A 17,767-nucleotide genomic window follows, 5' to 3' on the forward strand; every position below is an offset into this window, starting at 1 on the left:
AGATGGGAAATAAAGGGTCTTTAACTCTACTGTAATATTCTAGTTCTTTCTAATGGAAATTACTTGAAGCAAATATAGTATGATGATTTTCAATTCTGTGCAATGAAAGGCACATGGGTGTTTGTTAATTTGCTGGCTGCTACTTTTATAATTAAAGACAAATTTCAAAAAACCCACAAAGAAGCCTGGATTGTGCTGGGTGTGGAGTGCAGGTAAAAATGATAAAAAACGTGGATGGAGCTGGAGTCCATTGTCTTCAGTGACACAGCTCAGACACAGAAAGTCAAATACCGTACGTTCTCACTTAGAAGCAGGAGCTGAATAGCATGTGCACATGGACAGAGTGAGGAATGGCAGACACTGGAGAGACTGGGAAGGGTGGGAGGGGGTGAGGGATGAGACATTACTTAACGGGTACAATGTCCACTATTCAGGTGATGGTTACACTGAAAGCTCAGACTTCACTACTATACAATATATCCACGCAACAAAACTGCACTTGTACCCTTTAAATTTAACAAATAAAAAACAATGATAGAAAACAGGTATTCCAAATGAGTTTACCCTTAGCCCAGAGGGCCTGCCCAGTCCCAGGGTGACCTGGGCATTTGCACACCCTCACTAAGCCTTCACTGCAGGACCCAAGGGAGGGAGGCTGGGCTAGGGTGCCAGGTGACTCCCCAAGGCTGTCCCCCAGGGGGTTTATGGTGTTTGCCGAAACACAAACTTTTTCAAAGAAACCTGCCAGGTGTGGTGGCTCATGCCTATAATCCCAGCACTTTGGGAGGCCGAGGCAGGTGGATCACCTGAGGTCAGGAGTTCGAGACCAGCCTGGCCAACATGGCGAAAACCCCATCTCTATTAAAAATACAAAAATTAGCTGGGCATGGTGGTGCATGCCTGTAATCCCAGTTACTCAGGAGGCTGAGGCAGGAGAATCACTTGAACCCAGGAGGCAGAGGTTGCAGTGAACCGAAATCGTGCCACTGCACTCCAGCCTGGGTGACAGAGTGAGACTCCATCTCAAAAACAAACAAACAAACAGAAAACAAAACAAAAAAAACCCCATACACCTCTCTTCATCCTCCCTCTAATCAGAACCCCCCACACACACACAATCTTGATTATGAGGAGAACTAAATAGCTAGTTCACAAGTTCATACATTTTACAGTTGAAGTATCCTCAGAAAAACCACCTATTCAACTCCTGAGTGTTACAGATGGAAAAAAAGAAGTTCGACTAGACAGAGGAACTTGTCTGAGATCACCGTGAGTCAAAAACACACGTGTCTGTTCACCAACTGCCTTCGTCCTGAGCCAGATCCTGCAGCATCCTTCCACCTCCAAGAACTCACAGTTTGGAAGGGAGGACAAATAGGTAACTACAACATAGTTCCAGCCTCCCTTCCCCCTGAAGAAAGCTTGCTCCAGGCACAGCGGAAGCACAGGGGTGTGGATAATGAATCAGGAGTGAGTGGGCTGTCAGGGCTTATGAGTTCCACAGGTGGGACAGAGGGCTCAGGGCATGCCAGGCCAGATGGGCAGAGGCGGCACTATCAACATGGTTATAGCTCCCACCCTATCACCCGTGTGACGCCCCTCCCTCGAGGAAAAAGTGACCAATGATGCCCACCCTGTGTCACCAGAGGCTCTGGGCCTAACCCTGTCACCCCCTCCCACCTTTTCATTTGGAGAACTTTCAGGTTCATCTGGAGAACTTTCATCTTTCAGGTTCAGTTAGGATGGCACTTCTAGACCGGGCGCAGTGGCTCATGCCTGTAATCCCAACACCTTAGGAGGCCGAGGTGAGCAGATCACTTGAGGCCAGGAGTTTAAGACCAGCCTGGCCAACATGGCAAAACTCCGCCTCTACTAAAAATACAAAATATTTGCCGGGTGTGGTGGTGTGCGCCTGTGGTCCCAGCTACTCGGGGACTGAGGCATGAGAATCGCTTGAACCTGGGAGGCGGAGGCTGCAGTGAGTTGAGATAGTGCCATTGCACTCCAGACCAGGCGATAGAACAAGATTCCACTTCCCAAAAAAAAAAAAAAAAAGATGGCACTTCTGAGACACCTTCCCTGCTCCTGCCTCCCTCCCTGCTCTATGAGCCAGGGCACCCGAGCCCTCAGTGTACTTAGAACACCCCACTGTGCGTGCCAACCCCCATCTCCCCGCTCAATGCATAATGCCAGGCACAGGTGCAACCCTTACTCAACACATGCTGGATGAATAACCACAACACGGACGCAGCGCTCCACGTGCTTCTTCTGATGGCTGGAGACCTTCGACCGTAAGCTTCTAGCAAGGAGAGGCTAGCTCAGTGCTGAAAAAAAGGTGGGCTCTGAATTGGTGAATAAACAAATGATGAGTTTGGGACATATCAGTAGTCCGTTGGACACTGGTGGCTTGGAGATGGCGGAAGATGAGGTGGAGGAAGTCACTGAGGAGGGCCTCAGTGCCCCAGGGACAGTAGCATGGAGGATGGTTACGCCAGAGGATGGATCGACTTCTAGCCATGTGGTGGTCAGGTATGCAGACACCTCTCCTGCTGAAACAACTACAACTGCCAAACTGAGTATCTTACAGAAGCTGCTAGAGAAGCCACCCACAAGCTGGCAAGAAAGGAAGGAATACACAGGCTGAAGAGCAAATAAAAGTACGGGGCCCTTTTCTGTGGAGAAATCTGGCAGGCACCACCTTAACACACGACCAAACTGAGCTCAGGCCCCTCAGTGCTGCTGAGATGAACCAGCATCACGAGTAGGAGACTGAAGCTTACCGTGAGGAGACAGCAGGAAGAGTCCAGAGAGGGCGTGCCATGCAACCACGGTCTGGACTCAAGATGATGAGAGAAAACAAGGGGGTGGGGGAACATTTCTGATAAAGGAGACTGAAGGGATGACACAATCGAATACAACACACAGTCCTGGACTCTGCATTCCAGGCTCAAAGGCTCTAAAAAAGGCATTTATGGGGTATGTGGAGAAATGTAAGGTTCTGTGTTAGCTCATTGCTAAACTTCCTGAGTGTCTTAACTGTACTGTCTGCTCTTAGGAAAGGCATGCTTAAACGTTTAGGAGTGAAACAGCACGAGGACTATGACTAACTCTCAAGTGATCAATGGGCTAGGGGAAATACAGTGCCAATATGGTAACATGTTTAAAAGAAGGGAGATGACATCAATATAATCAGAAGCTATGCCAACTGACAGTAATATTTTGAAGCAGTGGTAGGCAAGCTTTTTAACAATTAAAGAGAATGCCTTCATATTACACAAAGACATTAAGAAAAAAAGCTGAAGGCTGGGCACGGAGGCTCACACCTGTAATCCCAGCACTTTGGGAGGCTGAGGTGGGCGGATCACGAGGTCAGTTCGAGGCCATCCTGACCAACATGGTGAAACCCCCTCTCTACTAAAAATAAAAAATTAGCCAGGTGTGGTGGCGCGCACAAAGGGACCGGGGCGGTGCTGGCGGCGATGCCAACAGACCTCAGTGTACTGTGGGGTTCTTTCAGCCAGAACTGTTCATGGTTTCATCAGTGAGCTCCAGTTACCACACCACACAAGTTTGGAGTGATCCACCCCGCCCCAGTTTTTCCTGCACGAACTCATGTTTTTATTGTGTGATTTACAGAACACAAGATCTTTTTCTAAGAATGCACACATCACACGTTGAAGCAGAAAGGCCTTTACAAAATCTTAAAATACCTACAAAATATGAAGTAAGGCTCTTAAGAAATAAAATATTCAATGATTTTGCTGCTAGAATGCAAACATTAGATCAAATCCTTCATTTGATCTAGCAAAGGAAAATTAGAGTTGCAGGAATCTTGTTTTCAGGCCAAACCATGACATCCTGAGGGGTCTGATGGCAGGAACTGCCTGCATTTTCCTCATGAATGTGACCTGCAGTGATCTTGTGAGAAAGGCCCGGAAGGCCGTGCAAATTACAGGGGTACAAGCAACAGCTGGCAGGTGTGGCCAGACAGGCAACTGCAGTTAAGGAAAGACTACTCAATCCCTGAGGTTTTCAGATTTTACAAAAAGGCAAAAAAGCCAGGTGAACAAGGCAGATGAAAGGTATTTTTCACTTGAATTGGAATCCAGCCCCCTCCCTGTCCCCTGGAGTGAGCTCCAGAGAAACTTCCAGAGCCCCAGCAATATCCCAACCTTTCGTAAATTCACTCATGCTCGCCACTTTCAGGAGATGGCATTTCTCAGCACCTTTCACTTCCAGTTATCCCTCGGCACAGCACAAAGAGCTAAACTACCACTCGAGGCAGTTAACCTAAGGGCAGGGTGGTGGCTACAGCTCCAGGTGAACAGTCTGGGACCAGAGGAAATAATGAGCCCCCCCTTGTACTGGCTGCTTCCACCCTAAAGTGTCATCCAGATGGTGTTTCCAATTCTTTCTACTTCCAGTATTAGCTGCAGAATTACGGAATCAAGGAGGCTTCTCTGCATGAATCAATAAAGGCTATAGCACTTTGAGACACAAGCTTTGGCCCTTTAAAAATGTGAGAAATCAAACTGGCACAGGCAGAGTGTCTCAGTGGTCTCCAGGGAGCAAGAGAGAATGAGGTTCAGCTTGAAGGCTACAAGGGTGGAGCCTGAGGTTCAGCTGCCCTGCTCTGAATTCGCAGTCCATTTCTTAATCCTCCACTTTTGAGAAGATGCGAGAAACCAGTTATGTTTTGCTAAGCTTAAATAAAATGCAGTTCTTGCCAACCAAAAGCAGAACCCTCCCCAAATACAGGCAACCAGTGCCATACAGCAAATCTCATCTTTATAGATGTGTAAAATGAAAACCGAAACACAAGCCCACCACATACAGGTTAAAAAATTCCTGCTGTGGAGAACAGTTTGGCAGTTTCTCAAATGTTAAACATGGAGTTACCATATGACCTGGCAATTTTACTCCTAGCCATACACTCTCAAAAAGCCACAACTATGCCGGGTGCGGTGGCTCACGTCTGTAATCCCAGCACTTTGGGAGGCTGAGGTGGGTGGATCACCTGAGGTCAGGAGTTTGAGACCAGCCTGGCCAATATGGCGAAACCTTGTCTCTACTAAAAATACAAAAAAATTTAGCCGGGCATGGTGGTGAGTGCTACCTGTAGTCCCAGCTACTCAGGAGACTGAGGCAGGAGAATTGCTTGAACCTGGGAGGTGGAGGTTGCAGTGAGCAGAGATCGTGCCACTGTAATCCAGCCTGGGCGACAGAGCAAGACCTTGTCTCAAAAAACCAAAACAAACAAACAAAAAACCAAAACCAGTAACCAAACAGATATCCGTACACCAGTGTTCATGGCAGCACAGTTTACAACAGCCAAATGGTGGGGGCAACCCAAATATGCATTCCCAAGGGATGGGTGGATAATCAAAACCTCATTATCTATAGGATATAATATCATTCAGCCTCAAAAAGGAAAGAAATTCTGACACATGCTACAATGCAGATGAACCTTGAGGACATTACGCTCAGTGAAAGAGGCCAGACACAAAAGGCCAAATAGTGCATAATTCCATTTATAGGAAATGTCCAGAATAGGCAAATCCATAGAGACAGGAAGTGGATGAGTTGTTGCCAGGGGCTGCGGGTAATAAGAGGTGACTGCTCCTGTGTCTGGGGTTTCTTTTGGGTGCTGAAAGTGTTCTGGAATGACACAGAGGCGATGGTTGCACAACTCTGTGAATGTACTAAAAGACACTGAATTGCACATTTTATTTTTAAACAATTTTTTCTGTGAGCCTATGAATTATACTGAAGAATGAATTGTACACTTTAAATGAGTAAATTTCATGGTATGTGAATTATATCTAAATTAAAAAAAACAACAACATTAAAACAGCAGCTGACCACCAATTATTCTAAATCATAAAGATAGGTTTTGTGATGCCTGGCCAGTGCTCAGAGCCCACACAGCTGTCTCAGAGCAAGTCTATCTGGCTGTGGCACAGAGCCCCGGCAGATAGATGGGCTGTCCGTCTGAGGAAGAGGCCAATGTGGGGACCTATAGTGATACATGACAGACTGGACCAAGCCAACCTGAATGTGAAACTCTGAAGCCCAGGACACAATAACCATGACAATCAGAAAGGAATTTAGTTCAAGAAGTTTAATGAGTAGGCATTTAGCCAAGTGGAAGGTTGTTGGCTATTCTGAGGACATTTGATCTTTTTTTTTTAATTGTGGTAAAATACACATAACATAAAATTTATCATTAATAGCATTTAGTACATTCACAATGTCATGCGACCATCACTACTCTCTAGTTCCAAAGACAACCCTTTACCCATTAAGCAGTTGCTCCCCACTCCCACTCCTCTCAGCCCCTGGTAACCACTAATCTATTTGTCTCCACAAATCTGCCTACTGTTGACACTTCATATAAGTGGAATAATACCCTCCCCTGGAAAGCCTGTCTTTTAAAAAATGATTTTCATTTAAAAAAGTTTTTTTGCTTAACACAGTGGCTCATACCTGTAATCTTAGGAAGGCAGAGGCAGGAGGATTGCTTGGGCCCAGGAGTTCGAGATCTGCCTGGGCAACATAGTGAGATCCCGTTATTCACAAAAAGGGGGAAAAAAGACCAGGAAAAAAAAAAATCCCAAAACTAAACAACGAAAAAGTTTTTTTTAGGGAGATAGGGTCTCGCTGTGCTGCCCAGGCTGGGCTCAAGCGATCCTCCTGCCTCAGGCTCTCAAGTAGCTGGGACTACAGATGAGCTACCACGCCCAACTTAGAAACATGTATTTTTTTCAGATTAGCTCATCATTCCCTGGTAACTTCTCCAATGATTTCCCCTTGCATCTCTGCCACTATATTCTAGCAGGGTTCTCACACTGATCCTACACACAAGTGGTTAGAGACTCACCAGGCCAAGCTCACCTCCAATTCCAAATACCTAGTCCTCAAGGTCCAAGTGGCCTGTTTCCATAGACACTGACACTGTGCATGACTTTTCTGTCCTCAGCTGCTGGCTTTCTCCATTTCTTGTTGATAATGTTTTTTTCTTACCTTTACATACTTCATGTAAATAAGTTTCACAGACTTTTAACAAAGTGTTGGCTGCTTTTATCAAAGAAGAGAAAATCTGCCAAAATAAATTTTCACCATGAAGGCAACACATTTTGGGGAACAAGAAAGGGCAGAAAGGAGATCTCTTTTACTAGAGAACTCTGCTTAAGGACTGGCTCATTTGATCCAAACATCTCATCAGTAACTTGGAGTGAGTGCCCTTGTTTTCGTCATCTTGCGTCTCACTAGTGTAGGTCAGTCCACATCAGCCTGCCTGACGTACTTGGTTCGTAATGCTGACATCTGAGCCCCCATGTTTATTTCACCCTGATTCTACTGAAATGACCAACGAAATGCAAAACAGGAGGAAATATCTCTATCAATGCCTTCAGAGGAACCGCTGTAGAATGTGGTGTGGCTGGGATCCATGCGAGAGAAGCAGCTCTCACACGATTCCACCACAGTTAAACACATGGGCAAAGGAGGGACCTGCCGGAGGTATGAGGATTCCGTAGCAGAGCCCAAGAAAATCTGCAAGATCAGAGAAACTGGGCCTAAGAGCCAGACTGGCAGAAGTACGGTTTGCCGGTGGCAAATAGAAGGACCTGAACCACCAGTGCCCTAGGTGGAGAGGTCAGTGACAGGCTGGCCAGGTTTTCCTGGGCACTGCTGGGACAGAGAGAGACACCAATATAGAGGAGATTCTACCTGTCTCAAGAATCTGCCAGCAGCACCCTGGGTCCCCACCCTGACTCCAGCTGCTGCCACAGGGGAAGCAGCAGGGACTGAAGCTCCACCCCATAAACAACTCTAGGGACTGGGGATCAAACAAGTACCAACAAATTAGTAACTGTCCTGTGTACAAATACAAATTAGGTGGAAACTATAATGATTGAACACCAGTCATTCCAGTCAAGATCCCAACTGGAGGCCGGGCGCGATGGCTCAAGCCTGTAATCCCAGCACTCTGGGAGGCTGAGGCGGGCAGAACACGAGGTCAGGAGTTCGAGACCAGCCTGGCCAACACAGTGAAACCCTGTCTCTACTAAAAATACAAAAAAATTTTAGCCTGGTGTGGTGGTGCGCGCCTGTAGTCCCAGCTACTTGGGAGGCTGAGGCAGGAGAATCGCTTGAACCCAGGAGGCGGAGGTTACAGTGAGCCGAGATTGTGCCACTGCACTCCAGCCTGGGCAACACAGCAAGACTCTCGTCTCAAAAAAAGAAAAAAGATCTCAACTGGATTTTCTTTGGAATCTGACATTTACCTAGAATAGGCATCTGAGGACAGCCAGAAGGAGTGTGTGTGTGTGTGTGTGTGTGTGTGTGTGTGTGTGTGTGTGTGTGCAGGGGGGGGGATGGCTTCCTTCTGGTAGCCACTGCTCTAGGGAGTATTTCTCACCATCATGTCACAAAGCACACAACAGGAGCACTCTCACATGGATTAGGGAATTAGATGCAGACCTCCTGCACAACTGCCCTCTTCCAGTCCTAGTAAGATAAGACACAAAAGAAAGGCAGGGAAGGAGAGTGTGAAGGGAAGATTTCAGCACACAAAGGAAAGGGGTGTAATTCAAAGCAGTCTGAGAAAAGACTCCAGAGGACAAAGCAGCAGCAAAGCCAGGCTCCTGCCCCGTCCCCCAGAAACCACCCTAGGGAGCGGGCAACGCCCTGGGAATTTGCAGTCAGTAAGCTGGAGAGAAGCAACCAAGTGGGAGTCCTTCACTTTTTCCTTTTAGACCCAGAAACTCCAGCTGGGAGGTGCAGGAGAAATGGCAAAGTGCCCAGTGAGCCAGCCCAGCTCTGTGGGAAGCAACTGCTCTTAGGTATACACAGATTATGGAACCACCCAGAGACTGAGGTGCCCCCTATCCCCATGGAAATGGCACACACATCCCTCGTGCAGCTAGAGTGAGCCTTAGTAAGACATCCAACACAGTTCTTAGAACAAAGAGAAGAATCCAGATAGGGCTGAAGACTACATGGCTGCAGCTCCCTCCAGCGTGCAAATTCTCTCCGGATACAAGATAACAAGCCTGCACGCGATAGCTCAGAGGGGAAAACAGCAAGAGAAGATGCCAAGAAACTGGGAAGAGAGAGCCAAGAATTCCTCCACTGTCTCAAAGCAAACAGAACGACTATGCAGAGCCATCCAAGCCTGAGCCAAGACGAAAAGAAGTGACATGGTAACTAGGCAAACATATTATGGCCAGAAGAAAAAAAAGAGGCCCAGGGAGGGAGATGGCACGAGAAAGGCAAAGTCTCCCACCAAGAAGAGAATACACAAGGAAGGGAAAAAAATTCCCCACAACTTCATAAGAACATGTTCCCAATAAAAGAGTTCAAAGATGGGATGATAAAACAGAATAAGATGAAAAGACAAATTTCCAACCTAGAGAAACAAACTGCAGACCAAAACACATCATTATGAAACTAATAAATACATTGAAAAACAGCCAGAAACAGAATATACATAGCTGAAAATCAAATTAGACAAAGTGAATGCAGATGAAAAAGACAAAAGCTAAACCAATTACGGCAAAGCTAATAGCATTGGAAGAGAGACAAAGACAATCCAACATGAGGAATTTGTGTCCCTGAAGTACAGAACTCAACAAATGGAACAGAAGATGCTGTCAAAGATCCATAAGAGAGCTGACCTGAAACAGCAACGACTACATCTGCAGACTGAAAGAATACACCATGTTCCCAGGACAATTTGATAAAGAATGCTCAATAGCAAGCCAGACTCTAGTCAACCTACTCAACTTCAAGGATAAAGAAAGCATTCTTCAGGCACCTTGGGATTCTTCCAAGGGGGAAACATCAGAAGACCAGACAGAATGTCTACAAAGTTCTGAGGCAGCTTAGCGCAGTGGTGGTGGGGGAGAGGTCAGAGGTAAATTCAGAGAGATGGACAGGGGCCAAAAGCCTCTCTGAGAAGACGAAATCTGAACACAGATCTGAAGGAAGTGAGTGGTGAGGGAGCAGGTCAAGTAAAGAGGGGTCCAGCCAATGAGGAGCAGCAAGAGCCAAGGCTCTGACTCTAGCAACATTATGGCAAGTTCCAGGAAGAGCAAGAGCAGTGGGAGCCAGGTGAGCAAGGGAGAGAATGGTAGAGAATGAGCTCAAATAGGCAAGGAGGGATCATGTTCCATGTGGCTGCTGAGGCAGGCCCAGTTACACAATTTGTGGAGCCTGGTGCAAAATGAAAATGCAGGGCCTCTTGTTCAAAAATTAAGAATTTTGAGATGGTGAGAGTAGAGTATTAAACCAAGCCTGGGTTCCAGCAAGCCCATGGGCAGTTACAAAGGCCCATGAAGCTGGCTCTGCTTTCAAGTAATGGACTTCGGGTTTTATTCTGAGAGGGTTTTTCTCAAGGGAGTAACCTGATCTAATAAACATTTTTCAAAGAGCCCATCTGAGGCTGGGCACACTGGTACACGCCTGTAATCCTGCATTTTGGGAGGCCAAGGCGGGAGGATTGCTTGAGCCTGGGAGTTCGAGACCAGCCCGGGCAACATAGGGAGACCCCAGTCTCTACAAAAAATATAAAAATTAGCCAGGTGTGGTGGTGCATACCTGTAGTCTCAGCTACTTGGGAGGCTGAGGTGGGAGGACTGCTTGAGCCCAGGAGGTTGAGGCTGCAGTGAGTCGTGACTGTGCCATTGCATTCCAGCCTGGGTGACAAAGGGAGACCTTATCTCAAAAAAAAAAAAAAAAAGCCCATTCTAACTATGGGAAGATATAGAGTAGAGGGAGTGGGGCAGGAGGGCACAAGATGCCACAGGGGGGCTCTGCAGAAGCAGATGTTGGGTCACGGTTTGAGGTGTAAGATGTTCATCAGGAACTGACATCCATAAAGGGAGGTGGGAAGAAGTCAAAGAGAAGGCCCTATAAGGGCCTTGTACCCTTACCTCGCTCAGTCACCAGGGTGCTGTCCTGGAAATGGCGTGACCTTGGGTGAGGAGGCTCTTGCAGCTGAGGCTAACCGGAGTGTCCGCAGGGCATCCAGAGAGGAGAGTGACCTCCGGGTCTGCCACGTGAGACTACTGCAGAGTCTAGGCAGGGATGCAGGGAGCTGGTCTAGGTGCCATCCCTGAAGGGCATGGGCACCGGGACAGCGAAAGGGCGAGAGATCCAGGACTCTGGCTTCCGTTTCTCATGTTTTTGATACTGAGGTATTTAGCTTTCTAGAGGCCTAAAGGGCAGCTGGATGTATGAATCTGGAGTTCAGGGGAGAGGTCTGAAGAGCCAGGCGAGTGCGTGAGGGCGTGCTGAATATAAGTGTAAACAACCCTCCCCCTGCTATTTGGAGTTGTGATGAGGAGAAAGAATCAGCAGAGGAGACAGAGAAAGAGGAGTCAGTGCAGAGAAGGAAGATCAGACATATCTGTCAAGATTATTGGTGGCAATCAATAGAAACCAACTCTAGCTGATTTATGCAGACAAGGACTGATGAAAAGCTATTGAAGATGCATGTGGTGATGGTTGCACAATATAAATGTGCTCAATACCACAGAATTGTACACTTAAAAATGGTTAAGGCAGTACATTTTATCTTTTGTGTATTTTACTGCAATTTTTAAAACTAGGGGGAAAAGGCTACTGGGTGATAAGAGAATCCCTAGAGGGTTGGAGGAACAGGTTTGAGTCCAGTTGGCTAGGAACAATACTTCAAATCCTTCTGCCAAGCCAGTCCAAACAGCCAGCACTGCCTGTGCGACCCTGCAAGGCAGCAGCACTGGCCACTGGCACTGTGGCCTAGGAGCTCGTCTTTCCTGCAGCCCCAATGCCAGGAGACACGGCTCTCCTGCCTGGCCCTGCTCCTCCTAGCATGTGAGTCTGACTGGCAGAGGCCAGGGTACATACCTACACCCTCGTGTAGAACTCAGGTAATTTCTTTCTGTAAGGGGCCAGATAGTATTTTCCACCTTGTGGGCCAGACAGTATCTGTCACAACCAGCCCACCTGCTGTTGTACAGGAGAGCAGTCTTGGACAATGCACAAAGGACGGGGTGGAACTGGGTCCTGGTAAAGCTTCATTTACGAAAACAGGCAGTGGGCCGGACTTGGCCCTTGAGATACCGTTTGCCAACTGCTGCCCTGACCGAAAGGGAAGCTAGGCAAATAAGCATCTGGCATTTGCAGTGACTACAATCAGAGGTCGCCAGGCCTCCCATCAACTCGTGAGGTGAGAATTCTCCCAAACCCAGAGGGTTCAAGATGTGAGGTGAGATGGCCACCTGGAGAGTATGAGGTACCAGAAGAGACACAAGGAAAGGGCTGAGAAGGAGTGACAGCCACTGATGACTGTTAAGATTATTTCATGGAATGTGGAAAAGCAAGTGTTCATGGAGCAAGCTGAGCAAGGAGCAGCAGGCAAGGAAGAGGGCCCATGAGTGGAGAGAACTCTTAGAGAGTTTGGCTAAAAGGAGAAACAGAGACTGAGCAGGAGCCAAGGAGGTATGCGCTGAAGGGAGCTCAGTTACGATGGTAAATTCTAAAACAAGTTCGTCTGGTGATGGGCACAGTTCACAAGAGGAGGGAAGACCAATGGAGTCCCAGGGGCATCAAACAGTGGTTGACACTGCAAGCTGGGAAGACAGTAAGTCCTCATCATAGGCAGAGCTAAGTTAGAACTCCGTGGGTGGAGTTCCAGAGATGACCAACTCCAGGATACGACCATGGGAATGAGTGGCAGAAGAGACAGGGAAGGAGCCAGGCACTAGGAGGGCGGCCTACATGCGTGTGTGTGCTGGAGTCAGGAACTGGCACGGAATCCTCAATAAGAGGACTGACTGGGGCAGTGAGCAAGCCCACAATCAGGGGTCTGTGGGCCGAGAGGCTGTGTCACAGTCCCCCTATGCCATGCCTGGAGGCACATGGGATCAGAGACCTCTGAGGACTTGGCAGGAGGCACAGGCGTGGAGAGGCAGGGCCTAACCCAGGTGTGTGTGTCGCGGGGGGGAGGGGGGCGGTGGTTAGGCAGGGCTCTTTGGGGAAGAGATACCTGACAGGGTCTTCAAGGATAAGCACGACAAGGCAAGGCCACAGGGGAAGGAAAGGAGAAGAGAAGGGGACTTGGGCAGGGGAGCCAATGACAAAGGCCAGGAGTGCAAGAAACATGGTACCTGGGAGGAACTACAAGCAGTCCTGGACTGCTGAGGGCTATGTCCATAAGAAAAGCAGCAGCAACAGAAGGGGCCACAAAGAGAAGCAGGAGCCACATGAGGGGCCCTGATGTCACTCAAACACAGGGTGCCACTCTTGGGTTTAAAGCAGGGGAATGAGATTGATGATAGGGATTGTGTGGAAGATAGAGAGGTGGAGGAAAGATCATAAGTTATCATGGGAGTCCCAGAGCAAGATGAGGGATTGAACCAGGACAGCGGTAGAAGGGATGACAGAAGACAAAAGAGGGACAAACAGTTAAAGGAACAATTTGTGGGACTTGGTGGCTCCCTTGGATGTGGGCAGTGAAGGGCAGGGGCCTGTTGGGTTTCCAGCTTGGGTGACTGGTATGGCTATCAACTGTGACAGAAAACAGTGGACATGGCATTTGTCTATTTGGTCTTCTGATCTACCTTATCTTGAAGGAGACAGGGGTGGTAGGGCGCCCAGTGGGTTGAGAAGAATGGAAGGGAGAAAGAGGGCAGAAATCTCTCAAATGTTTTGCACAGTAAAATCTGACTAAAATGCACACACGCCCCACAAGCCTTTTTCTTTTTTTTTCCCCCCAAGAAGCAAAACAAGTTTTATTTCCATAGTAGTTCCTTTTAGTGCTCTCTGTCGCCACCTAATGGATGGCCTGGTGGAAGAGGCTCAAGAGGTAGCAGCCTAGCCTATTCCACGGCAGAGGAATCAAACTCACCCAGGCAGGGAGAACGGGACTGCACCTGGGTGGGGGAGGACCAAAAGAAGCCCAGCTGCTTCTGGAAGATCATTGGGAGTCTCTTCTGGAAGACCAGGGGCTCTTGGAGCTAAAATAGACGTTCGTTCATTAATAATACCTACTTCAACAACTTAAGATCATGTTCAGCGGATGCACATCAACCTTGACTTGTCTGTGCTCCCCAAATCAATATGCCTCAATATTGAGGCATATTGAGGGAACAATCTGTAGATATTCATGAAATTGTCTGGTGGGACAAAAATTGTGGGGCACTTGAGCCTAGCTGAACTCAGTTTTAAGTTCTAGCATTTAACACACCACCTCTAAGTTTACGTGTACTTTATGAGTGCAGGAATGCAACAAAAAAATCTAGTGTAAAGTCCTGGCCCTCAGGGCAAAGCAAGGGAACTACAACTCTTGCTGCGAACTGCCTTCCTCCCACAGATGTGGCACATTCACAAATCACATTCATTGAACAAGAAATGGAACAAGTGCCACACCAGAGGTGACAAGAAGAGGGGACCATACAATAATAGGTAACTTCCCTGTCACACGAGACTGCTTGGAGACAAGGATACAGAGCCCAGCATAGGAGATGGGACAAAATGATGAGGGTCAAGGACCACACCTGGTTTAACTCCCAGTGAAGAGTTTTAGCCAGTAAAGAGCTGCAAGAAGGAAATCACACACCACGAAGAGGCCACTAAGATAAACGCTTGAATCTGATTAAGTTTTCACCTGAAAAGTGTGGGTAAGGACAAGCCTGCCTTGTTGGGTAGTACAGATTCAGTGAATGAGCCCTCAGATCCTGCTGGATCCCGTGATCAGATAAACAGCAGCTTCTCAGGAACCACTGCATGTGAGGTTAGGGTGAGGGGAGGGACCCGATGGAGATCTAATCCCAGGGGTTTGGTCACAGGGGCTGGCGAATGAGAGGTGGAGACCGGGAACATACGCCACTTTTTTTTTTTTTTTTTTTTTTTTTGAGACGGGGTCTCACTGTGTCACCCAGGCTGGAGTGCAGTGGCACCATCTTGGCTCACTGCAACCTCCGCCCCCCAGGTTCAAGCGATTCTCCTGCCTCAGCCACCCAAGTAGCTGGGATTACAGGCGCCTGCCACTGCGCCTGGCTAGTTTTTCTATTTTTAGTAGAGACGGGGTTTCACCATCTCGGCCAGGCTGGTTTTGAACTCCTGACCTCGTGATCCACCCACCTCGGCCTCCCACAGTGCGGGGATTACAGGCGTGAGCCACTGCGCCCGGCCAGCCACTCTTTTTTTTTGAGATGGAGTTTCGCTCTTGTTGGCCGGGCTGGAATGCAATGGCACGATCTCGGCTCACTGCACCCTCCATCTCCCAGGTTCAAGTGATTCTCCTGGCTCAGCCTCCCAAGTAGCTGGGATTACAGGCATGCGCCACCACGCCCAGCTAATTTTGTATTTTTAGTAGGGACGGGATTTCTCCATGTTGGTCAGGCTGGTCTTGAACTCCTGACCTCAGGTGATCCACCTGCCTTGGCCTCCCAAAGTGCTGGGATTACAGGCATGAGCCACCAGGCCCAGCCTAAGCCACTCTTTTGGAAAGCTCAGCAGAGAAGATGCATGAGGTAATACGACGCGTTAGGTGGCCTTTAAAGGGATGTTTATAGCTTTTCATAACATGGGTGTATTAGTCTGCTCAAGCTATAACAAAATAGTACAGACTGGGGGGCCTATTCAACTGAAATTTCTCACAGTTCTGGAGGCTAGAAGTCCAAGATCAAGGTGTCAGCACATTCAGCCCCTGGTGAGGGCTCTCTTTCTGACTTGGAGATGGCTGCCTTCTCATTGCATACTCACATGGTGGAGAAAGCAAGCTCTCTGCTGTCTCTTGTTATAAGGACACTAATCTCATCATGCGAAACCCACCCTCCCTCCTGATTTCATCTAAACCTAACCACCTCTCAAATACCCCATCTCCAAATAACATCACATTGGAGGTTTGAGCTTCAACACTGGAATTTTGGGGGACACAAACATTCAGTCCATAACAGTGCTGATGTTTATGTTTTAATGTTAAATGATAACAGCACAGCACAGCAGCACACACACTGTGTGATGCCAATCTGTTTGTTTGTTTGTTTGTTTGTTTTTTTAGATAGGTTCTCACTCTGTTGCCTGGGCTATAGCAGTAGTGTGATCACACCTCACTGCAACCTCGACCTCCAGGTTCAAGCAATCCTCCCACCTCAGCCTCTCAAAGTGCTGGGATTCCAGGCATGAGCCACCATGCCTGGCCTCCAATTTGTATTTAATGCCACTGAACTGTACATTTAAAAATGGTAAATTTTAGGTGATGTGTATTTTACTACAATTTTTTTAAAAGTCTAAGAGAAGGCAAGAAAGGAGAAGGAAAATTTAAAAGAACAGAAAATATGGAAAAATAGAATGCACAAATATGCTATAAATGAATCTAAATACATCAGAAATCAAATAGATGTTAAAGGACGAAACAGACAATGGATTTTTTAAAAAATCTCGAGGCCGGGTGCGGTGGCTCACGCCTGTAATCCCAGCACTTTGGGAGGCTGAGGCGGGCGGATCACGAGGTCAGGAGATCGAGACCATCCTGGCTGACACGGTGAAACCCCGTCTCTACTAAAAATACAAAAAAAAAAAAAAAAAAAAAATCAGCCACGCGTGGTGGCGGGCACCTGTAGTCCCAGCTACTCTGGAGGCTGAAGCAGGAGAATGGCATGAACCCGGGGGGCGGAGCTTGCAGTGAGCCGAGATCGCGCCACCGCACTCCAGCCTGGGCGACAGAGCAAGACTCCGTCTCAAAAAAAAAAAAAAAAAAAAAATCTAGCTATCAGCTGGGCATGGTGGCTCACGTCTGTAATTCCAACACTTTGGGAGGCTGAGGCGGGTGATCAGCTGAGGTGAGGAGTTTGAGACCAGCCTGGCCAACATGGTGAAACCACATCTCTACTAAAAATACAAAATTAGCCGGGTGTGGTGGCACGTGCCTGTAGTCCCAGCTACTCAGGAGGCTGCGGCAGGAGAATTGTTTTGAACCTGGGAGGTGGAGGTTGCAGTGAGCCGAGATCACGCCATTGCACTCCAGCCTGGGCAACAAGAGCAAAACTCCGTCTCAAAAAAAAAAAATCTAGCTATCTGACATTTTCAAAAGCTCCACCTCACTGATGCATAAAGACACAGAAAGGAGGAAAATAAAAAACTGGGATGGCCGGGCGTGGTGGCTCACACCTGTAATCCCAACACTTTTAGAGGCCAAGGCTGGTGAACTGCTTGAGCCCAGGAGTTTGAGACCAGTCTGGGCAACATGGCAAAACCCTGTCTCTACTAAAAATACAAAAACTTAGCCAGGCGCGCTGGTGCAAGCCTGTAATCCCAGCTACTCAGGAGGCTGAGGTGGGAGGACCACTTGAGCCCAGGAGGCGGAGGTTGCAGTGAGCTGAGATTGCACCACTGCACTCCAGACTGGGTGACAGAGGGAGACCCTGTCTCAAAAAAAAAAAAAAGAAAGAAAAATAAATAAAATAAATAATAATTTAAAAAAAAATAACATATTAGTATGGTCGCTTCATAATACCAAAGGGTTCAATACACCAGGAATGTGAAACTGTATCTAAAACTGAAAATGTGGCCTCAAAATAAATAATAAAATGAAAATGACCAAACTCTGTGGAGAAACTGATGTGTCCATCACCACAGTAGGTTTTAACACGTATTCCATCAGTTGATAAATCAAGTAAACAAAATGACAGTAAGAAGAGAAAATACTTTCACAACAAACGGATAAGACAGAGGTAATGAATATATGTAGAATCCTGCACCCATGCTTGGTGGTGAC

General features: G+C 47.6%; 1 protein-coding gene across 17 annotated transcripts in view, besides 1 other annotated feature; it reads right to left on the minus strand.

The window, feature by feature from the left end:
* Window positions 1–17,767, minus strand: part of MECP2 (methyl-CpG binding protein 2) — a 76,145-nt gene that overhangs the window by 16,007 nt on the left and 42,371 nt on the right. For 3 of the 17 annotated variants that reach the window (NM_001369393.2, NM_001386137.1, NM_001369392.2), the window contains one exon: window positions 2,213–2,324. The exons of the other annotated variants lie outside the window; for them this stretch is intronic. The gene's annotated coding sequence lies outside the window, so the exon portion shown is untranslated. The remainder of the gene's footprint in view (window positions 1–2,212; window positions 2,325–17,767) is intronic. 17 annotated transcript variants of the gene reach the window in all.
* Window positions 3,469–3,969: an enhancer, noted in NCBI's record as "H3K4me1 hESC enhancer chrX:153306499-153306999 (GRCh37/hg19 assembly coordinates)". NCBI's record gives its function as "activates a minimal SCP1, AML or CMV promoter by ChIP-STARR-seq in primed H9 embryonic stem cells {active_cell/tissue: H9 hESC(primed)}" and the evidence as "EXISTENCE:reporter gene assay evidence [ECO:0000049][PMID:30033119]".

Source organism: Homo sapiens, chromosome X (genome assembly GCF_000001405.40).
Source record: "Homo sapiens chromosome X, GRCh38.p14 Primary Assembly".
Classification (NCBI taxonomy): domain Eukaryota; kingdom Metazoa; phylum Chordata; class Mammalia; order Primates; family Hominidae; genus Homo; species Homo sapiens.